At 40.4% G+C, this 23,943-nt stretch overlaps 1 long non-coding RNA gene across 1 annotated transcript, besides 2 other annotated features; it reads right to left on the bottom strand.

Moving 5' to 3' along the window:
• Positions 1–3,183: 3,183 nt before the first annotated feature.
• Positions 3,184–23,728, bottom strand: LOC105378821 (uncharacterized). Its single transcript, XR_947548.3, has 3 exons — positions 23,639–23,728; positions 20,523–20,615; positions 3,184–4,465 (listed from the first exon to the last, which is right to left on the bottom strand). It is a non-coding gene; the product is annotated as an uncharacterized LOC105378821 (long non-coding RNA).
• Positions 4,227–4,521: an enhancer, noted in NCBI's record as "tiled region #4548; K562 Activating DNase matched - State 5:Enh". NCBI's record gives its function as "activates a minimal TATA promoter and a strong SV40 promoter by Sharpr-MPRA in K562 cells {active_cell/tissue: K562}" and the evidence as "EXISTENCE:reporter gene assay evidence [ECO:0000049][PMID:27701403]".
• Positions 8,741–8,810: a silencer, noted in NCBI's record as "silent region_1032". NCBI's record gives its function as "represses an Ori minimal core promoter by ATAC-STARR-seq in GM12878 lymphoblastoid cells {active_cell/tissue: GM12878}" and the evidence as "EXISTENCE:reporter gene assay evidence [ECO:0000049][PMID:35858748]".

Below are 23,943 nucleotides of genomic sequence, written 5' to 3'. Positions count from 1 at the left end.
CAGGTTAGAGGTCTTCACAGCAGCCCCTCCCATCACAGGCCCAGAGGCCTAGGAGGAAAAAGTGGTTTTGTGGGCTGGACCCAGGATTCCTGTGCTGTGTGCAGCCTAGGGACTTGGTGCCCTGTATCCCAGCCACTCCAGCCATGGCTGAAAGGAGCCAACGTAGAGCTCAGGCCATGGCTTCGGAGCATGCAAGCCCCAAGCCTTGGCAGCTTCCATGTGGTGTTGAGCCTGCAGGTACACAGAAGTCAAGAATTGGGCTTTGGGAACCTCTGCCTAGATTTCAGAAGATGTATGGAAACAACTGGATTCCCAGGCAGAAGTTTGTTGCAGGGATGGGGACCCTCATGGAGAACCTCTGCTAGGGCAGTGCAGAAGGGAAATGTGGGGTTGAAACCCCCAGAGTCCCTGCTGTGGCACCACCTAGTGGAGCTGTAAGAAAAGGGCCACCATCCTCCAGACCCCAGAATGGTAGATCTACTTACAGCTTGCACCATGCGCCTGAAAAAGTCACTGACAGTGCCAGCCCATGAAGGCAGTGGGGATGGAGGCTGTACCCTGCAAAGCCACAGCGGCAGAGCTTCCCAAGACCATGGGAACCCACCTCTTGCATTAGCATGACCCAGATGAGAGACATGGAGTCAAAGGAGATCATTTTGGAGCTTCAAGATTTGACTGCCTTGCTGGATTTCAGACCTGCATGGGGCCTGTAGCCCCTTTGTTTTGGTCAGTTCTCCCATTTGGAATGGCTGTATTTACCCAATGCCTTTACCCCCATTGTATCTAGGAAGTAACTAACTTGCTTTTGGTTTTACAGGCTCACAGGCAGAAGGGACTTGCCTTGTCTCAGATGAGACATGGGACTGTGGACTTTTGGGTTAATGCTGAAGTGAGTTAAGACTTTGGGGGACTATTGGGAAGACATGACTGGTTTTGAAATGTGAGGACCTGAGATTTGGGAGGGGCTGGGGTGGAATGATATGGTTTGGCTGTGTCCCCACCCAAATCTCATCTTGAATTGTAACTCCCACAATTCCCAGATGTCATGGGAGGAACCCATTGGGAGGTGACTGAATTATGAGGGCAGATCTTTCCCGTGCTGTTCTCATGCTAGTGAATGGGTCTCATGAGACCTGATGATTTTAAAAATGGGAGTTGCCCTGCACAAGCTCTTTTTGCCTGCTGCCATCCAGGTAAGATGTGACTTGCTCTTTCTTGCCTTATGCCATGATTGTGAGGCTTCCCCAGCCACATGGAAGTGTATGCCCAATTCAACCTCTTTCTTTTGTAAATTGCCCAGTTTTGGGTACGTCTTTATCAGCAGCATGAAAATGGACTAATACAGACCTCATCTCTACAAAAAAATTTAAAAATTAGCCAGGCGTGGTGGTGCACGATAGTAGTCCTAGCTATTGGGAAAGGCTGAAGCAGGAGGATCACTTGAGCCCAGGAGTTAAAGGCTGCAGTGAGCTATGATGCACCACTGTACCCTGGCATGGGTGACAGAGCAAGATCCCATCTCTAAAAAAAAGAAATAAACCATATCAGGCATGAATGGCTTTTTGTACAGGGTAATTTGAGAAAATAACTAAGCATATGTGGGCCATGTTTTAAAATTTGAAGTGTAAATAGCTTCATAGAGTTTTATGGGAAACATTCTAACTGGAATCAGAAAAATATTACTGATTCAACTGCTTTGGCCAAAAAAAATTACTGAGAAAATTGGCAATGCGTTTTCACCATTAAAACACTAAGATCTGGACTCAGTTGTAAACTTGCAACTTTCTAATCTTAAAATTTAATGCTGTGTAGTGCTTTTGAATTCACAAAGTTTAGTCACATAATATTTTAGTTTCCAAAAATCCAATTAGGTAGGTTTCATCATTTTCAAATTGTGGAATGGAAAATAGGCCTAGTGAGCTGACATAGTGTACCCATGGATGTACAGTGTGTTAGCTTCAGAGAAGAGAGGGATGGAGAAACTGGTAGTGCTTAGTTGGATATAATAGCTGAGCATGAGGCTTTCTTTTATTGCTAATTATATTTTTAAATTTAAAATATGAATGGATTAATGCAGGTTTGAACATAATCTACATTTAAAATATGTCACACAAGTTAGGTACAAAGCTCTACCAGAGACATTTGAAACCTCTAAGTATTTTTACAGGTCTATATAATCCGAATAAATGCAGCAACTCAATTTGATTAAGTCAAAAACTGACTAATCTGAATTCATAACTGGACTTTAAAACATGGGTGGTATTTTGGAATTTTAGAATTTTTATCCATACTGTACTGCTTCCCTATGTCACCCCTCCATTTCATAATAGTACAGAAGTTTCACATATTCCTACAAAATCGTGTTAAAATTCCCAGCAAATGTTTTGGAATTTGCATTACATTCTAAAGTTTTCTCTCTTCATCTTCCTCCACATAGATAATTTTTCCAATTTTTTGAAGCATTGCCTTTCAATGAAAAGAGAGTGTGGGGAGATACCAAGAGGCATTTGTGTGTTCTGTCCACAGACAAGGGACTTTTTGCCTGTTTTGTTCATTGACTAGAACAATGCCTGGCACATAGTAGGCACTCAATATGACTGCTAAATGTTGCAAGTAAGCTGAATTCCTCACCCCTGGCTTAGGGTTGATTCTCATTTGTCTTGGTATAATGCTATCCCCCCATCCAGAGGCTTGTGTTTTCAGTTATATGGGCCAATATGTCTTATTAACAATGTAAACAAGTTTGAATTGGGTTTTCTGTCATTTTTCCACTAAAACCATCAATTAGTGCAAAACTGATTTACTCTTTTGGTTTCTTCCAGGGCTCCATGCTATTCTGGTTCTATTTTCTCTGGTTCCTTCTCTTCCAACTGCCCCTGGTTGCCAGTGTAGTCTACATTGTTATTCTTCTCATTCTCTACCCTTGTTCTTGAAGATTTCAACCAAGTTCATGGCTACTACAATCAGTAACACTTTGATGATCCCCTATACTGTATGGCTTGCCAGAGTGCTCTTATAAAGCCTAGATTTGTGTATCCAATTGTACATCTCCACTTGGTTCTTAAAGGTCCCTCCCATACTGTATGTCCAAACACATTGTGTCAAAGGTCACACCATGTACCACATTTTGTTTCTGATTAATGGCATCACCATAAACCCAGAAACCTGCTCTACCTCACTTCCTATCACATAGGTTTGGTCAGTAAATCCTGTGGTTTCTACTCCCTCATTCCCATGTGCCTCTATTTTTTCTCTCTCTTTTTTAAAATCTTTGCTTTTGGATGGAGGCAGCATATGTCACATGCCTCTTAATCTAGCTCTAATGAATCATTTACAATTCCCCAGATATGCTATTTAGTTTCGTGGTTCTGTGCCTTCACTCACACCATTTGCTTGACTTGGCCCTTTTTTGTCTTCCTTGTGAACTCCGTATTTTCTCCAAGAACCAGTTGAAATATTCCCTCTTTAATGCACTTTGTTTTATTTATCTCCATATCCACCTCTACATTGCTTTCCCTCATACTGGGCACAAAATGAATAGCCAACATTTATTGAATGCTTGCTATGTGCCAGGCATTTTTCTACATGCTTTACATGTATTGAGTCATTTAGTTTGATGAGGTAGGTGCTATTACTAACCCTACTTTTCAGGGGAGAGAACTGGTACAGAGAGGTTATGTAATTTGTTCAAGGCACTGGAGCTGGGAAACCCAGGCATTCTGGCTCCGGGGCCAGTACATTAAGCTGGAGGAGGGAGGAATGACTGCATTAACCATTAGATTGGCTTAGTTCTTTGTGTGTGTTTGATTCAAAGAATGTCTTATCCTTAGAAGGCACTCAGAATACAAATATTTGGAGAATTAATGGATCCAAAACCATTTCACTAAACAGACGAGCAGCATTGGTTAAATACACCAGAAACATCTTTTACGTGGATTAAAGTCAATATGCAAATCTTTTAGGAAGATTAATACATATTTTAAGGACTTAGTAACTTATTACATGTTTGGAGTATCTGTAATCGAAAGCCTTAAAAGATAGTAATAGGGCTGAGAATATTACTCCCTCCCCCCAAAAAATATTTTTTAGCTTTTCAGTTTCTTTAAAAAATTTTTGTTGCTTGTAAAGAACAGTTTTTCAAAGTCTACATTTTTTAAAGCAAAATGAGCTTTAAGCCACAAGTTCTGCCTCAAATTTCATTGGCTTTCCTCTAACATTTCATTTTATGACTTGAGTTTAGAATCATAGCACCTGGCATGGAAAGGCCTCCAGAGGTCCTCCAGTACAGCCAGCCCCAAACAGTAATGTCTTCGGTGTGATCTTTGTCTCGCTTTTCTAGGCCCACAGACAAGCCCACGAAATGACAGGTTTACAGCCTGGATTTGAAGAGTCATTTCCTGTGTGTCTGTAATATTTTGGTATGCAGGGTCTGGAACTCCTCTTTCTTTCCCTTGTTTACCATTTTCTGAAAGGAAGAAACAGAGGTTTTGGTGCATGGCATTGAGGTAAAAGTGTAGCCCTTTTCCTGGTATAATTACCTGTCTCTGTTTCTAAATGGGACCCAGATCCTAGCAACCTTCCCTGGCATGGCATGCTAGAAAGTTTGCATTCACATTTTAAATTTAGAATTCCTGAGGGAAACTGCAGTGAACTAACAGAGCAATCACTTCCAACTGAGGAGGTGACTTATCTGCCAGCAAAGCTCCAAACAAGCCAGCTCAGAAATCACTCCTCCAAGGCCTTCCCCCAACACCCCCAGTCTAGGGGCATTTTAAGACCCTGCTGCTAGTTTTCAGTTTGGAGATATATACCGGTACACATACATACACCCTGAGGTGTTCAGTAATGATCAGTAGGATCTTTCCCTCCTTTTTCAGGCTGTTCTGCCTTGAGGCCTTCCCTTCCAATCCTGTCCTTAACCACAAAAAAGTGGCCTAAAAGCCTTAGCAGTAAAATGTCTTCCATAACATCTGGAATCCATATGTCAAATCTGTAAGGCATAAGCTCTTTTTTCTTTTCTTTTTATTTTGCCTTAATTATTTGAGCTCCAAATCCCCCACCCCAACCTCTTTTCGTGCCAAACTAATTAGGGCAATTATCTGAGCCATCCGTGGCTACAGATCAGTTAAACCCTGTTATTGAGGGTAACAAATGAGAGGGTTAATTTTTCTTGACTGCTCCATAGTTGGGGAAGAAAGATAATAAGCCCTTATATTTGTCGGGTGCTTTTGAGTTTTCAAACTCTCTATTCTCTACACCAAGCTGCCACCTGGGAAAAGGGCTTACTTTGGGGTTCCAGACTGTCTGGAACCCTGAGGTAAACGATTTAATTCTGAATGAAGCACTGGAATTTGCTGCTATACATGAAAGAGGCCCCTCCAGCTTTGCTGCTCAATATGTAAAAAAGATTTTGATGCTATTTTAAAGAAACAGGTTTGCCATTTCTTTAATGCCTCTGGCACCAACTTGGAAATGTTTACTTAAAATCTTAAGACAGTAAAGTGGCTTTTTCTGGATAATAGGACAATGTCTTGTGTGTTTCTAACTTACATAGAAGTTGCTGAATTCATCCAATTGCTCTGGCTAATTATGAACTGCTTAGGTTTTTCTATTCTTTTTCCACTTTTGTTTCATTGCAACAGTAAGAAGACTATCCTATGTCAGGCTTGCTGGGCAGCAAACCAGTCCCTAATTTAATCTTTTGCCCTGGAGGTTTATTTTAGATCATGCAGCCTAGCATTGAATGTTTTTTTAAGCCCAGGAGAGTAGGTGGAGGAGGATTAGGGTTTCTTAGCATTACCATGATTTCAACTAGTTTTTCCAAGAGGGATTTGTGAAAATTTGGTAAACAATGATGGAGAACAGCTTTTCAATTGCCTCACAGAAATACTAACAGTAAGCCATATGTCATAGAAGCACAGAAAAAAAAAACTCTACATGGTTTTATTACTACAAATATACTTAGCCTTTTCAAGGACAGGAACAATGTTTACAACAAAAACACAATAACAATTCGTTCTACTTAAGCTACATTGTTTTAATTCTCATAACATTAATGTTATATAGTTAGATATAAATTATTTTTAAAAGTAATACTCATTAAAATTTTTTCTGATTATGAAGATGAGATACATTCTTACTATAGAAGTTCTGGAAGAAAAAGAAATTTAAAAATAGAAATCATTATTAGTAGAGAAATCCACTGTTAACATGTTAATAGTATTTTCTTACAGTGTTTTTTTCTATGCACATATATATATATTCTAAACAATATAGACAAGAATTAAGAATTCCTGGCCAGGAGCAGTGGCTTATGTCTGCAATCCCGGCACTTTGGGAGGCAGAGGTGGGTGGATCACGAGGTCAGGAAATCAAGACCATCCTGGCCAACATGGTGAAACCCTGTCTCTATTAAAATACAAAAAATTAGCCGGGCATGGTGGTACCCGCTTGTAGTCCTAGCTACTCGGGAGGCTGAGGCAGGGGAATCGCTTGAACCCAGGGGGCGGAGATTGCAGTGAGCTGAGATTGCACCACTGCACTCCAGCCTGGCGACAGAGTGAGACTCCGTCTCAAAAAGAAAAAAAAAAAGAATTCTTGGCCGGGCGTGGCAGCTCACGCCTGTAATCCCAGCACTTTAGGAGGCCCAGGCCGGCGGATCACCTGAGGTCAGGAGTTCGAGACCAGCCTGGCCAACATGGTGAAACCCCGTCTCCACAAAAGTACAAAAATTAGCCGGGCATGATGGCAGGTGCCTGTAATCCCAACTAGGCGGGAGGCTGAGGCAGAAGAATCACTTGAACCTGGGAGACGGAGGTTGCAGTGAGCCGAGATTGTGCCATTTCACTGCAGCCTGGGCAAGAGAGTGAGACTCCACCTCAAAAAAAAAAAAAAGAGAGAATTCTTTAAAAACCCAATTTTTGGCCAGCCACGATGGCTCACACCTGTAATCCTAGTACTTGGGAGGTTGAGGCAAGAAGACCCCTTGAGGCCAGGAGTTCAAGACCAGCCTGGGCAACATAGTGAGAGTCCATCTCTACAAAAAAATGAAAAAATTAGCCAGGTGTTGGCCAACATGGTGAAACCCCGTCACTACTGAAAATACAAAAAATTAGCCGGCCATGGTGGCGCATGCCTGTAATCCCAGCTACTAGGGAGGCTGAGACAGAATAGCTTGAATCAGGGAGTCGGAGGTTGCAGCGAGCCGAGATCACGCCACCGCACTCCAGCCTGGCGACAGAGCGAGACTCCGTCACAGACACACACAAAATTAGCCAGGTGTTATAGTGCATGCCTGTAGTCCCAGCTACTTAGGAGGCCAATGTGAGAGAATCACTTGAGCCTAGGACTTCGAGGGTACAGTGAGCTATGACTGTACCATTGCACTCCAGCTGGGTGACTGTGTTAGGCCTTTTTTTGTTGCTATAAAGAAATACCTGGCCGGGCACGGTGGCTCACGCCTGTAATCCCAGCACTGTGGGAGGCCGAGGCGAGTGGATCACGAGGTCAGGAGATCGAGACCATCCTGGCTAACATGGTGAAACCCCATCTCTACTGAAAAATACAAAAAATTAGCCGGGCATGGTGGCACATGCCTGTAGTCCCAGCTACTCGGGAGGCTGAGGCAGGAGAATGGCGTGAACCCGGGAGGCGGAGCTTGCAGTGAGCCGAGATGGCGCCACTGCACTCCAGTCTGGGCGACAGAGCGAGACTCCGTCTCAAAAAAAAAAAAAAAAAAAAGAAAAAAAGAAATACCTGAGATTGGGTAATTTACAAAGAAGAGGTTTAATTGGTTCACGGTTCTCTAGGCTTTACAGGAAGCATGGTGCTGGCATCTGCCTGGCTTTTGGGGAGGCCTGGGGAAGCCCATAATCATGGCAGAAGGCAAAGTGGGAGCGGGCATGTCACATGGCAAGAGCAGGAGCAAGAGAGAGGAGTGGGGGAAGGTACCGCACACTTTTAAACAACCAGATCTCACAATAACTCATTCACTATCATGAGGACAGCACCAAGGGGATGGTACTAAACGATTCATGAAAAATTCCCCTTCATGATCCAATCACCTCCCATCAGGCCCCACCTCCAGCACTGGGGATTATATTTCAATATGAGATTTGGGGGGGATAAATATCCAAACTATATCAGTGACAGAATGAGACTTTGTTTTTCATAATTTTTATGCCTGTTTGAGTTTATTTAATCAGCCATTTATCCACTGGACATTGAAATGGTTTTCAAATTTTTCACCACTATAAATAATGTTGAGACAAACATCTTTGTAAATAAGCATTTGGCCACAGTATTTTATTATAAAACTACTTTTTGTGAGTAAGATTTCAAGATGAAGTCGTATGCATTTAAAGTTTATCTAGTTGGCTTGACTTCCTGCTTCTAACTTCCTGAGATCATATTTAAACAAGAACTTTCAAAACATGTCTACATATCCTTGAAGTCTGAATTGTTCAGTCCCTTGCCAGAAGCCAGTTCTTTATAACAGCAATTTGGCATTTCTAATATGTCCTCTTTTTAGCTGCTGTCAAAAACCACATTTCTTTTTAGACTGCTCCAAGAAACTACTCATCAGTGCTCAAATTGAGAACCTACTTATTTTACCTTCTGCCAAAGGAATTTGTGGCCACAATGTACTAAAGACAAATTTGGAGGTGAAAAGAGAACTGGGACAAAAAAATAAAGTAGACTAGGCCTTTTCTCCCTCATTTGTATATTATTGACAAGATTATTGCAATTAGCAGAGATACACCTTAGGTGGAGCTAAAGGCTACAGAAGCATTACCCATGGTGGCCCAGCAGGCAGCCCTCTCTGATGCCCAAAAGCAGCTGGCTGGCCTCACTGTGGGAGTCATCCAGAACCAACTACAAGAGAACAACTGCTCACCAAAAAAGAAAAGAAGGAAAATACCTCCTTATCTTGGCTTGTGGAATTTAGGAAATTCCACAACTAGAGCTCCCAATAAAGCATTAACCAGAGGGTTAAAAAGCAGACTCCCAAGAGAGGAGCTACCCGGGAGAAGTAACATTATCCTAAGTCTCATCTTGCCACTTAATCACACTTACATTGTTAGCTCACTGCTGGGCATATTTTACCCTCCTAAGGAGATCAGGGCCTGCTGGAGAGTGCACTGGAGCCTTACATTTCTTCTGGGACCACCTCAGGGACCCAGCACAAAGCAATAAATTTAGAAATTGTTCAATAAGTAACAATTTGTTCAACTGAGCAAATGAACAAACACCATCTTAGAGCAAATGAGTTTTCAGATCTTTCCCTGCCAGCTTGTTTGTGATGGGGGCACTAAGCAAACCAGCCAAGGAGTAAAGAGGCCTAAGACACAGCAGTTTGCCAATGTCTTCATTTCCTTGGGCTGGCCCTGAGGGACGCTAACCAAGGCTGGATTCTGACTCCTGTACCTCAGGTAATCCAACTAATAAAAACCTTCCATTAACCAAGATCCTCCCCTTTTCTCTATTATTAGAAAAAAAGAAGTTATAAGAAAACAGTAGGGATTTTATCTTAAATAAAATGACTTCTCAGGGTTGGCCTTTAACTGGGTATAAATTCAACTCAACCTCCTAAACCTTCTCCAGCAATGTTTCCCAAAATGTGTTCCAAGGAAACTATGGAAGACTCTCTGAGAAAAGGGATCCACTAAAGTCCAAAATTCTCCCCTCCTAGCGATCCATTAAAAAAAAAAAAGAAAAGTTTTAAAGGCTTTGAGGAGTCATTAAATAAAGAAGCCTCTTTAGCTTCTTGGTAAAGTGTCCCAGTGTCTCAAACTTGGTAAAATTTGCGTCATGAACTCTGAGACACGCTGCTCTCCACCGTGATAATACTCTTTCCTGTGGCATGGCAGTGCTCACTTGGGCTTGCACTGGTGGGGATGAGAAACTGATCATTGATTATTCAAAGGGTTAATGTCTTCTGTAGAGTGTATTTTCTTTCTTTCTCTCTTTTTTTAGAGACGATGTGTTACTCTGTTGCTCTGTCACCCAGCCTGGAGTTCAGTGGCATGGTCATGGCTCACTACAGCCTCGAATTTCTGGGCTTAAGTGATCCTACTACCTCAGTCTCCAGAGTAGCTGGGACTACAGGTGCACCACTACACCTGCCTAATTGTTTTTTTTTTTTTTTTTTGTACTGACAGAGTCTTGCTATGTTGCCCAGGCTGGTCTTGAACTCCTGGCCTCAAGAGATCCTCCTGTCTTGGTACTCTGGGAAGCCAAGGCAGGAGGATCCCCTGAGGGATCTCTTATAGGCATGAGCCACTGCACCTGGCTAGTTTCTAAGTTATTTTTCACAATAGTTGAATCAAATATATATTTTTATGAGAAGTGCAAATTAAAACTACTTGTAAATGGTATTTCTTAACAAATGGGGATTAGAAAAATTCCACTTAACAACACACTCTGTTGGTAAGGCAGCGGGAACACAGCACACCCTTACAATGCGGGTAGGAAGACAAAATAGTCCAACCCATATAGAGAGCAATTTGACAATATTTACAGAAATTACAAATATATTGACTCTTTGACCCACCAGTCTCACTTCTGGGAATGTATCCTGGAGCTATGCCTGTCCATGTACGATATATGTACTAGTTATTAACTGAAACATTGTTTATAATAGCAAAATGTTAGAAGTAATTCAAGTGTCATAGGGAACTGGTTAAATAACTGTGGTACAATGGAACATTACGCAGTGGGGAAAATGAGGAAAATAAAAAACTCTCCATATGATTGTGGAAAGATATCCAGGATATACAATAAAATGAAATAAGAAATTTGGAGAAGATATATTTACTTATACTACTCTTTGTGGAAGAAAGGGGAAGATAAGAATATATATTCATACTTACTTGCATTTGTATTAGGAAATACTGTCACCATGTAAGAAACCAATAAAAATATTCACATATAGAGGGCAGGAGGAGTTTGGGGTAGACACTAACAATGTCAAACTTTAAGCCCTGTGCTTCCAGAAAACAGTGAAGGTTAAGAAATTCCCAACCCACTGGGCAAGGTGGCTTACACCTGTAATCCCAACACTTTGGGAGACTGAGGCAGGCAGATCACCTGAGATCAGGAGTTCGAGACCAGCCTGGCCAATATGGTGAAACCCTGTCTCTACTAAAAATCCAAAAATTAGCCAGGTGTAGTGGTGGGCGCCTGTAGTTTCAGCTACTCGGGAGGCTGAGGCAGGAGAATTGCTTGAACCTGGGAGGTGGAGGTTGCAGTGAGCCGAGATCGCACCACTGCACTCCAGCCTGGGTGACAGAGAGAGACTCCATCTAAAATAATAATCAAAAAAAAGAAATACCCAATTCTTTGTGTGCCAGGAACCAGCAAAGAGCACCTGCTGTCTGAGGTAAGATCCAACTCTGTCCTTCTCAGGAATCCCATGAGACCCATGCATGGTGACGCCCTTGCTTATCTGCCCCTTGCCTTCTCTTAGAAACATTCCTTGTTGATAAACATTCTCACTATTACAGTAGCCAGAATAAAATAATCTCCTTAACTGACCAGTGCATTTTCACAACAGGATTGGGAACAGGGGTGTGTTCCTCTGATACTCATCTCTGTGTATATCTTTTAATATCATTTTCATTTCTAAACAATGTGACTGCATCACTTACTTTTAAAAATTTACTTAAAGATACAAAACAAGCAAAATAATTTTCTGATCAATGGCTTAATTGAAAGTTCCATTAACCAGAAAAACCTCAGTCCCAGCATCCCTGTTAACCATTTCAGGATAAAAGCACGTCCCACTTTTCAGTGCTCCTTTTCTTTGGAGGGATGAGGTGCTGGCTCACTGACATGCACCAGCCTTTCCCTTCCTCGTAAGTACACTTGTAATAAGAGGAGGTGGACAGAAAGAAAAAAGAGGGAAAAGACATGAAGCAGTTTTGTTCTCTGGTGTATATTTTTTAACCCCCGGCTGATAAAATTCTCTACTTTCAGCCCATAATATCACCTCCTACCACAAAAACAAAGGAATGTCATGTTCTCTTTTCACCATTTATTCCTGCCCTCTGGGGCTTCTTTCTCCTTTCCCCTTCTGTTTTCATTAAGGTTTTGGAAGGCTGAGCCTAGATGTACCTCGTGCGTGCTCTCTTCCCGCTTCTTGCTGGCTGGAACTTGGACATGGTGGCCTCGCTTTGATGACAAAGCCCTATGAGAGGGCACAGCAATTTCCTAAAAGGAATCTCAGTCCTTGAGTGATCATGAGGAGCAAATTTACCCTGAAGACCTAGACCATTCACACTAAAACTGAGATATAGAGGAAAAAGAAACTTCTTTTCCAGGTGGTATGACTTAACTTCATCCTAACATAATTTCTTTTGAAGAAAATAGAAAGAGTTGTACTAGATGATCTCTAAGAAGCTTTCTAGTACCAACTTATGTGAATCAAAGCATGATATTGTCACTGTAAAGGGTTAGAGAGGCTTCGAATCATAGCTTGTTTATACAGCATGTCACTGGTCACAGCTGTGATACATTTGCTACTCTGTGCCACAGTGGGTAAGACCTGGATCTTGGGTTCAGCCCTCTTGAATTCAGTTCCTGCCCCTGTTCCTTACGACCTGTGACCTTGGGCCAATTGCTTAAGCTATCTGAGCCTCATTTCCTTATCTATAACATTCAAATAATACTAGGAATAATTTCTCAGCATGAGATAATCCAGGAAAAGTCTTTCACTAACAATAAGTTCTCAATAAGTTATAGTTATTTTTATAACTGTCATTGTTATTGTTGATACGACCTTTGTCAAAAATGTCATCCCCAACTGTAATACTCTTTGTATGGACAACTTTTGTCCAATTCTGTTTATATGCTTTATATCATCATTTTGGAGAATGACTGGATAAAAAACATCACAACAGATTGAAATCACCGTGAAGAGTGGAATAGACGTGACAGATACGTCACTCCTTGCATATATCTGGTTCTCCTCTCTTTCCTGGGAATACAGGAAAACCATGCTTCCCAGCCCCTTTGCAATAAGCTAAGGCCTCATGACCAGTTCTCATCAAGGGACAGTAAGTCAAAGAAACGTAGATGACATCTGGTGCAAAGCATTTCAGAATGGATGTGAATTCTCCCTGATTTTTCTCCCCTTGAAGCCACTGGGAGCCCCCATTCACCTGGGTCCTTGAATGACTAACTGGAGCAGGTCCACCTCCCAACCCCCAGTAATTCAAACTGGACATGTGGAATGAGAAATAAACCTTTGTTGTATTGACATTCAATATACGATCACATTACCTGTCCTTTTCTAATACAATGAGTAATGACTAAGTTACCATAATTTCAGAATATGTAAGCCTTTGAATTGACTTGAAGGACAAAGTACTCACCATCTGTCTATTATGATGGGCCCTTGCTGGAAATTTTCATGACAAAAATCATAATAATAGCTAATGTTATATAGGACTTACTATGTATCAGGTATGTTCTAAGAGCTTTATATGTATAAATTCACTTAATCCTTTTTAAAAAATAAATTTAATTGGGAGACCATTAGGTTGAGATGACTCCAGTACCCTGGGTTGCTACATAAGCAAACCAAAGCCCATGCAAACAGTATAAAAAACCTAAGCTTTGAGGTGGGTGGATTACTTGCAGTCAGGAGTTCGAGATTAGCCTGGCCAACATGGTGAAAACCCGCTTCTACTAAAAATACAAAAATTAGCTGAGCATGGTGGTGCATGCCTGTAATCCCAGCTGCTCCTGAGGCTGAGGCAGGAGAATCGCTTGAACCCGGGAGGCAGAGGTTGGAGCGAGCTGAGATCGTTCCACTGCATATCAGCCTAGGTGACAGAGTGAGACTCCATCTCCAAAACAAAAAGCAAAAAATCAAAACAACAACCTAAGCTTGACTAATCAGAAACCCCTAACTAACCTCTAACCAGAGACATTCTATTTTAACCAAATACATATATACACATACATATATACATAGATGTCTATTTTTATGTATGTATACTTGTTGTTGTTGTTGTAGTTGTTGTTGTTGTTGTTGTTGAGACAAGGTCTTCTTATGTTGCCCAGGCTGCTCTTGAACTCCTGGGCTTAAACAATCCTCCCACCTCGGCCTCCCAGAGGGCTGGGATTACAAGTGTGAGCCACTGTGCACAGCCCCAAATACATTTTGTTTTGCTTTCATGAACACCTTATAAAAGTTTCCTTTCTCACCACCCCCCACCCAGTGGAGTGCTAAACTGCTTGTGCTGCCCAATTCGTGAATCATTGAATGCTCAAACAAGTGCTTTATATTTTTAATGTATCTAAGTTTATCTTTTTAACACCTTGTGACAACTCTATAAGTGAGGTACATCAAACCATTTTGCAAATGAGGAAACTGAGGGGCAGAGAAACTAAGAAACTCACCCAAAGTAAGAAGTGAAGTCAGGATTCAAACCTAGGCAGTCGGACTGTAGAGTCAGAGTTAGAGTAGTCTTTAACCACTATGCAATAAATATGAATTAAACAATTGGCTGGATGTGGTGGCTCATGCCTGTAATCCCAGCACTTTGGAAGGCTGAGACAGGTGGATCACTTGAGGGTAGGAGTCAAGACCAGCCTGACCAACATGGCAAAACCCTGTCTCTACTAAAAATACAAAAATTAGCTGGGCATGGTGGTGCACACCTGTAATCCCAGCTACTCGGGAGGCCAAGGCAGGAGAATTGCTTGAATCCAGAAGTGGAGTGAGCCGAGGTTGCACCACTGCACTCCAGCCTGGAGTGACAGAGCGAGACTCCATCTCAAAAAAAAGTCATCTTGTCAGGCACAGTGGCACATGCCTATAGTCCCAGCTACTCAGGAGGCTGAGGCAAGAGGGTTGTTTGAGCCCATGAGCTCAAGGCTGCAGTGTGCTATGATCCTGCCTGTGAATAGCCACTGCACTGCAGCCTGGACAACATAGGGAGACTCTGTCCCTTAAAAAAAAAAGAAAGAAAAACAAATCATCTCAGTACACTCTGTAAAGAACTATAATTTCTAAAGGAAACTTCAGGCTAATATCCCTAATGAACACAGATGCAAAAATCTTTAACAAAATACTAGCAAACCAAATCCAGCAGCCCATCAAAAAGTTAATACAGGCCAGAAGTGGTGGCTCATGCCAGTAATCCCAGACTTTGGGAGGATTGCTTGAGTCCAGGAGTTCAAGACCAGTCTGGGCAATATAATAAGACCTCATCTCTACAACAGATTTAAAAATTAGCCAAGCATGGTGGCATGTGCCTGTAGTCCCAGCTACTCGGATGCTTAGGTGAGAGAATCACTTGAGCCTGGGAGGTGGAAGTTGTAGTGAGTTGAAATTGCACCCCTGAACTACAGAGCAAGATCTCGTCTCAAAAAAAAAAAATTAATACAGGACAATCAAATAGGCTTCATTTCTGGGATGCAAGGCTGGTTCAACATACGTGAATCAATAAATGTGATTCATTGCATAAATATAATTAAAAACAAAAACCATACAGTCATCTCAATAGATGCAGAAAAAGCTTTCAGTAAAATTCTACATCTCTTCATGATAAAAACCATCAACGAACTAGGCCTCAAAGGAACATACCTCAAAATAATAAGAGCCATCATTGACAAACCCATAGCCAACATCATACAAAATGGGCAAAAGCTGGAACGCTTCCCTGTGAGAACTGGAACAAGACAAAAATACCCATTCTCACCATTCCTATTCAACATAGTACCGGAAGTCCTAGCAAGAGCAGTCAAGCAAGAGAAAGAAAGAAAAGGCATCCACACAGGAAAAGAAGTCAAACTATCTCTCTTTGCTGATGATATGATTCCATACCTAGAAAACCTTAAGCACTCCACCAAAAGGCTACTAGAACTGATAAATGATTTTAGTAAGATTTTAGGATATAAAATCAATATGAAAAAATCAGTAGTATTTCTATACACCAATAATGTCCAGGCTGAGTCAAATAAAACACACAATCCCATTTACAATAGCCACAGAGGAAATGAAATATCTACGAACAGAGCTAACCTAGTAGGTAAAATATGTTGTCTAGAAGAAGAACTACAAAACACTTCTGAAAGAAATCAGAGATGACACAAATAAATGGAAAAACATTCCATGCTCATGTATTGGAAGAATCAGTATCATGAAAATGACCATACTGCCCAAAGCAATTTACAGATTCAATGCTACTCTTATCAAACTACCAATGTTATTCTTCACTAAATTAGAAATATCTATTCTAAAATTCACATGGAAAAAACAGAGCCTGAATAGCCAAAGCAATCCTAAGCAAAAAGAACAAAGCCAGAGGCATCACACTACCTGACTTCGAACTATATACTACAAGGATATAGTAACTAAAACAGCGTTGTACTGGTACAAAGACAGACACATAGACCACTAGAACAGAATAGAGAGTCCAGAAATAGAGCTGCACACCTACAATCATCTGATCTTTGACAATGTCTACAAAAACAAGCAATGGGGAAAGGACACTCTATTTAATAAATAGCACTGGGCTAACTGGCTAGCCATACGTCGAATGAAACCGGACCCTTACCTTTCACCATATACAAAAATTAACCCAAGATGGATTAAAGATTTAAATGTAAGACTTTAAACTATAAAATCCCTAAAAGAAAACCTAGGAAATACCCTTCTTGACATGAGCCTGGACAAAGAATTTTTGGCTAAGTCCCCAGAAGCAATTGAGACAAAATCAAAAATTGACAGTGGGAACTAATGAAACTAAAGAGCTTATGCACAGCAAAAGAAACTAACAAGTAAACAGACAATCTACAGAATGGGAGAAAATATTTGCAAACTATGCATGTGACACAGGTCCAACATCCAGAATCTATAAGGAACTTAAATCAACAAGCAAAAAACAGCCCTATTAAAAAATAGGCAAAGGACATGAACACTTTTCAGTAGAAGACATACATGTGGTTAACAAGCATATGAATAAATGTTCATCATCATTAATCATCAGAGAAATGCAAATCAAAGCCACAGTGAGATATCACCTCACACCACTCAGAATGGCCATTATTAAAAAGTCAAAAAAACAGGTCAGGTGCAGTGGCTCACGCCTGTAATCCCAGCACTTTGGGAGGCCAAGGTAGGCAGATCAGTTGAGGTCAGGAGTTTGAGACCAGCCTGACCAACATGGTGAAACCCCATCTTTACTAAAAATACAAAAAAAAATTAGCCGGTCATGTTGGCACATGCCTGTAGTCCCAGCTACTCAGGAGCCTGAGGCAGGAGAATAGCTTGAAACCGGGAGATGGAGGTTGCCATGAGCTGAGATCGCACCACTGCACTCCAACCTGGGTGACAGAGCGAGACTGTCTCAAAACAAACAAACAAACAAAAACAAAAAACAATGGATGCTGGCAAGGCTGCAGAGAAAAGGGAATTCTTAACACTGTTGGGATGTAAATTAGTTCAGCCACTGTGAAAAGCAGTTTGGAGATTTCTCAAAGAACTTTAAACAGAGATCCATTTGACCCAGCAATCCCATTACTGGGTATATACCCAAAGGGAAATAGATCATTTTACCAAAAAGACACATACGCTTATATGTTCATTGCTGCACTATTCAAAATATCAAAGACATGGAATCAACGTAGGTGTCCATCAGTGATGGACTGGATAAAGAAAATGTGGTACATATACATCATGGAATACTATGCAGTCATAAGAAAGAAGGAAATGATGTCCTTTGCAGCAGCATGGATGGAGCTGGTGGCCATACGCCTAAGAGAATTAACACAGAAACAGAAAACCAAATACTGCATTGTTCTTTCTTATAAGTGGGAGCTAAACATCGAGCATCCATGGACATAAACATGGGAACAAAAGATAAGGGACTGAATTGAAAAACTACCTATTGGGTACTATGCTCACTACTTGAGTGCAACATACCCATGTAACACATTTCCAGATGTACTCCCTGTATCTAAAATAAAAACTGAAGCAAAAAGTAAAAACAAATAAACCACTATAATTTCTTTTCACTATACTGAAAACAACCATGAGCTCTGATCATGCCACTGCACTCAGCTTGGGTGACAGAGCAAGACCCTGTCTCAAGAAAATAAAAACAAAAATAAGAAGTAAAAAAAATCACTAAGTAGTGATTATTTGCAGTAGTGAAATAATTATAAATTATTTCTAAATAAATTTAACATGAACAGTATGAGACCCATATGAAGAAAATGATAAGATTTTTTTGAGAGGTACAAAAAAAGATCTCAACGTGTTCTAGGATGGGAGAATTTAATATCACAAAAAAAGTTAATTATTGTATATTAGGGCATATTCATACTAACAGTGGTTTAAACAACCTAGAAGCTTATTTTTCTCTATGTAAAAGTCTGGGTAGGCCCTTCAAGGGCTGGTAAGGTGCTCCGCAATGCCAGAGCCTCAGGCTTCTTTTCCCTTGATGCTCTGCCATGTCTTCACCCAGCCAGCAGGAGGAGAGAGCATGCCCTTTCCCTTTGAGGACACATCTAAGGTGGGTTCCAGGCGAATAGACTCTGAGCCAGAGATTGACAGCAGGAAGTTTACTGCGAAGTGATCTTGGGATAAATATCTGGGGGAAGAGTTATTGGGCAAAGAGCTACCACAAAATTTGCAACAAAGGCCTCAGCCAGTTCCTCGAGGAGTTCTGGAAGTGTCGTAGCTCTTTAGCATTGATTTCCCTTAAAGCAAGGGGACTGGACCGACCAGTCATTGGAGGTGGGTTGATGGGCAGCCCTGGGAAGAGGAAGCAATGTTAGGCGAGGTGGCTCCCTGCAGCAGTTCTTGAAGCAGGATGCAGCTGAGAGCCAACAGCTGAGGGAATGAGTTCAGCAGCTCTGAAGTGGTGTCTGGGCAGTGCCCTAAAGCAGCACTCCCCAACCTTTTTGACATCAGGGACTGGTTTTGTGGAAGAAACCAGTCACTGGTGCCAAAAGCACCTCGGTTTTTCCATGAACCAAGGTGGGGGTATGGTTTCGGAATAATTCAACTACATTACATTTATTGTGCACTTTATTTCTATTATTATTATTACATTGTAATATATAATGAAATAATTATACAAACCACCATAATGTAGAATCAGTGGGAGCCCTGAGCTTGTTTTCTTGCAACTAGATGGCCGCATCCGGGGGTGATGGGAGATAGTGACAGATCATCAGGCATTGGATTCTCATAAGGAGCCGCACCTAGATCCCTCACATGCACAGTTCACATTAGGGTTCACACTCCTACAAAAATCTAATGCCACCGCTGATCTGACAGGAGGTGGAGCTCAGGTGGCAATGTGAGTGATGGGGAGCAGCTGTAAAAACAAATGAAGCTTTGTTCGCTCACTGCTTCCCTCCTGCTGTGTGGCCCTGCCCTAAAGTATTACTATAAAGCACTTCCTGAAAGTTACATATATTAATTCTGCTAACATCTCATTGGCTAGAACTTAGTCACATGCATACTGGTACCTGCAAAGAAGGCTAGGAAATGGAGCCTTTATTCTAGTGGACTACGTGCCCAGCCGAAATTTTTTTTTTTTTTTTAAGTGACAGGATCTCACTCTGTCATCCAGGCTGGAGTTCAGTGGTGCAATTATAACTCATTGCAGCCTTGAACTCCTGGGCTCAAGCAATCTTTCTGCCTCGGCCTCTTGAAAAGCTTGTACTAGAGGCATGCACCACCATGCCCAGCTATTTTTGAAATCTTTTGTCGAGATGGGAACTCACTATGTTACCCAGTCTGGTCTCAAACTCCTGGCCTCAAGTGATCTTCCTGCCTCAGTCTCTCAAAGTGTTGAGATTACAGGCATGAGCCACTGCAACTGGCCGAAACATTTACTGGGAAGGAAGAAGAGGAGAATAGTAAAAGAGAAATTGTAGTTTCTGTAACATCTTCCAAAACTGATATAACTTTATCACAGTTTATTTACACAAGAATAGTTTATTTTTGGGAGCTGGATAAACATAACTTATAATTCATGTGTACAAATAAATGTCCAAGAACAGCCAGAGAAATTATGAAATAAAATAATGTGTGGGACATGCTTGCTCAAATGTTAAAATACTTCAAAGGTGACTGAAATTAGAACAATATGATCCTGGCATAGGAATAGACAAGTATGTCATTGAAACAGAATAGAGAACCCAGAAATAGATTCAAGGCAGGACTGCTATCCTCTTGGTTTGCACTATATCCCTGTTGCAGTGGTTTACAGACAGCATCTGTTCTGACTGGTCTGTGCCCATACTGTTTTAATTGTTTATATTTTGGATGTACCCCTGGTCCCAGGACATACGGTAACTTAGTAAATGCAAAATGTTATACTTCGATTCAGTGGTTAAGAATGATTTGCTTCACATATTTAGCTGATAAATGCCTCTCTCTATAGGTTAGACTAAAAAGTGAGACTCTTACCTTATACTATATAAACAAATTTCAGATGGACTTGAGTTATAAATGTTAAAAATGTAACAATGGGGCCAGGTGTGGTGGCTCATACCTGTAATCCCAGCACTTTGGGAGGCTTAGGTGGGAGGACTGCTTGAGACCAGGAATTCAAGACCAGCCTGGGCAACGTAGTGAGACCGCATTTCTACAAAAATACAATTTAAAAATTAGCTGGGTGTGGTGGTGCATAACTATAGTCCCAGCTACGCAGGAGGCTGAGATGAGAAGATTACTTGAGCCCAGGAGCTCGAGTCTACAGTGAGCTACAATCACACCACTGCACTCCTGGGTGGCAGAATGAGACTCTGTCTCTTAAAAAAAAAAAAAAAAAAAAAAGGTAATGATGAAAATTTAGCCCTATAAAATTTCAGTTAGATAGGAGGAATACGTTCAATAAATCTATTGTACAATATGGTGACTATAGTAAATAACTGCATTATTTTCTTGAGAATCACTAAGACAGTAGATTTTAAATATTCTGACCACAAAAAATAAAAAATATGTGAGATAATGTATATGTCAATTAGCTCAATTGAGCCATTCCACAATGTATACATATTTCAAAACATCATGTCATATGTGATAAATATACACCATTTTTATTTGTCAATATAAGAAAATATAAAAAAGAAATTTTGCCCTAGATGTTGGAGGGATTTTATTTTTTAGATGGAGTTTCACTCTTGTCACCCAGCTGGAGTGCAATGGTGCTATCTCGGCTCACTGCAACCTCCACCTCCCAGGTTCAAGTGATTCTCCTGCCTCAGCCTCCTGAGTAGCTGGGATTACAGGCGTGAGCCACCGCGCCCAGCCGATGTTGGAGGGATTTTTTAGCAGGAAACCCAGAAGCTGTAAAAGTAAAAGGAGAGAACTACTCAAATATAAGAAATATTATAGTGTGGAAAAAAATACCACAGACAAATTAAAAAGACAAATAATAAATTAGGAAAAATATTTCCAGTGCATGTGAAAAATAAAAGGTTAAGAGTTTTACTGCACAAAAGGCTAAGAAGGTCACATAATTAAAAAAACAGTCAAAGGACGTAAACAGGCAATTCACGTAAGAGCAAATCCAAGATGGCCTCTAAACATAGAAAAAGATGCCAAAACGATTAATCTCACGGGGAGTCAGGGAACTGCAAATTGAAGAAACAAGTGAGCTTTCTCTCTACAGACATCATATTGGCAAAAATGAAAAAGGGATAACAGCTACTGCTTTCAGGAATATGTGGAAAAGGCTATTTTCACACATTGCTAATAGAAATGTGAATTGTTATAGTATTTTGGAAAGCGAAATTAAAATTAAAAAGATATATACTCTTTTTCTCAGCAATCTATTCGTAGGAAGAATTTTCCTACTTACGTAAAAGCATTAGTATGAAAAGCTACACACAGAAAGATATTTACTGCATCCTGGTGTGCCACTGGGATAAAAAAAGTTAAAAATTAAGTGTTAGGTAGAAAAACGATTAAATAAATTATGCTTCATGCATACAATAGAAAAATTATGCAGCTATTAAAAAGAATGATTTAGAACTATCCAGGGTTTTTGGAGGGGAATCCATGACAGTTTAGATGAGAGAGGCAAAATGCATAGAATGCCTATTACCCACAGACACACAGGGTATATATGTATCTGATTTCATAAGCATGGGGAAGGAAAAGAACATATGTATACCATATTTTGATATTGATTCCCAAAGATGAAGAAAACAACCAACCAAGCAATATTTTAAAAATTAAGGGCCATAATAAGAATAGCATGCATGTTACTCTCTTTATATAAATGTGTATACGGAGATGTGTGATGTGTGAAAGGACAGGTGCCAAAATGTTAACGTGGTTATCACAGGGTGATGAGGTTTCAGGACATTTTTACTTTCTTTCTGTCTATAACTTGTTTTTGAATTTTTTCAAAATTCATTACTTATATAGTCAGAAAAGCATAAAGCCGTTTTCATTATTGGGGAAATAAATAAGTGAATGAAAATCCTCAATAAACTTCTTGTTAAATTAGATATTAATTTAGGAAGAAACTTGAAATGTCATGAAAATACTTAGGCAATATTGAATCGTCTCTTCCTTTATTTAAACTTGATTTAAAACAATAAAAATATTTAAGTACTTTTAAGTGTTTCTTTCCAGTTTGCTACCTTAGGTAATAAAACGTAGCAAACTTAGTCAGTTACGTCTGACTAAGATTTTGTTATTGAGAGAGAAACTTTTCACTGTGATTCAAAAGAACAAAATTTGTTAAAAGGTTTATTTTCTTTTAATACTTTTTATGAATTCCTTTAATTTTTTTTCTTCAATGGCCCACAACCTCATATTCTGAGACCTGCTATTTCATGGTTTATTCCCTCACTCTGCTTCTTTAAATCTGATTGAACTTTTCGGTTATCAACTATACTATAACAAACTTATTATTAGAGCACTTTGGCTTTCTACAGCCTCAACACAGAATTTATAGTGTTTCTCATTATTTCCTTGTGAGTCCATTCATATGTATGTACAACTTCTTTTAAATAAGTGAAAAGCTGTTTACAAAAGAAAAGCTAAGTCATAACTGTGAAAGGAACTCTACCTGTTACACTATGAAGTGGTATTAAAGGGAAAAGACAGCAGTGAAAGCTCTATCAGCATAAACTGTGACTGATTAGACACGGAGAGATAGGGCACTGTTTCAAACAGCTTCGCCAGACACATAAACACATTTTTCTCTTTTCTGACTCCCCTGGGCTTCTACATTCCAGCCCTCTTGTCATTGTCTACCCACGCAGTCTTTTTCTTCTTTCTCTGACTGAAACATCTTCATGGTCTTTTTGAGTATTGTATTCCAGCAACTTTTCTTTTATTTCACAATGAGAGGTTTATTGGTATCTAGATTTAATAAATATATTCTCTCTTCAGTGACCAGGTTTTTGAAAAGCAAAAAGGATAGACCCAGCAGAATTTCAGGAACATTCCATATTCCCTGAGTGAGACGCCTTAGTACGTAGCCCTGGATCCAGAGTGCTAAACAGCTTCATTCCTCCTCTGGCTAAAAGCCTCACTTTGTTATGGGTTGCAGGTAGGGCACTCATTTGCCCCCTAACCTAGACCAGTTCTGCTTTTCTAGAGGCAATAAAATTCATGATCATGTAAAAAATGAGATCTTGTAATACCTACCCAATAGGGAAATTATGAAACAGCCATGTTTTAATAGCACTTTCCAGCCCACTGCCGAAAGAGCTGTGGAAATCCAATGTTAGTCTTGTTTTTGTGGCTAGTATGACTTATTTTGCTTCAGTGATGCAACAGGTAAGCAAACAATGGTTGCTTATGATCAAGGTAAGATTTGAGATTTACATATGACACCTTTAAAGAAGCAAAGACATCTATCTTTCCTTAACAAAAATCTTACTCAACTGGCTCTCTGTAATGACTGGGTATCAGCACAAATCAGATAATGTGTTTTGATGTTTTAGAAAATT

Source organism: Homo sapiens, chromosome 1, assembly GCF_000001405.40.
Source record: "Homo sapiens chromosome 1, GRCh38.p14 Primary Assembly".
NCBI lineage: Eukaryota > Metazoa > Chordata > Mammalia > Primates > Hominidae > Homo > Homo sapiens.
Note: the sequence above shows the minus strand (reverse complement) of the source record. Positions and strands in the feature narration are given on the sequence as shown.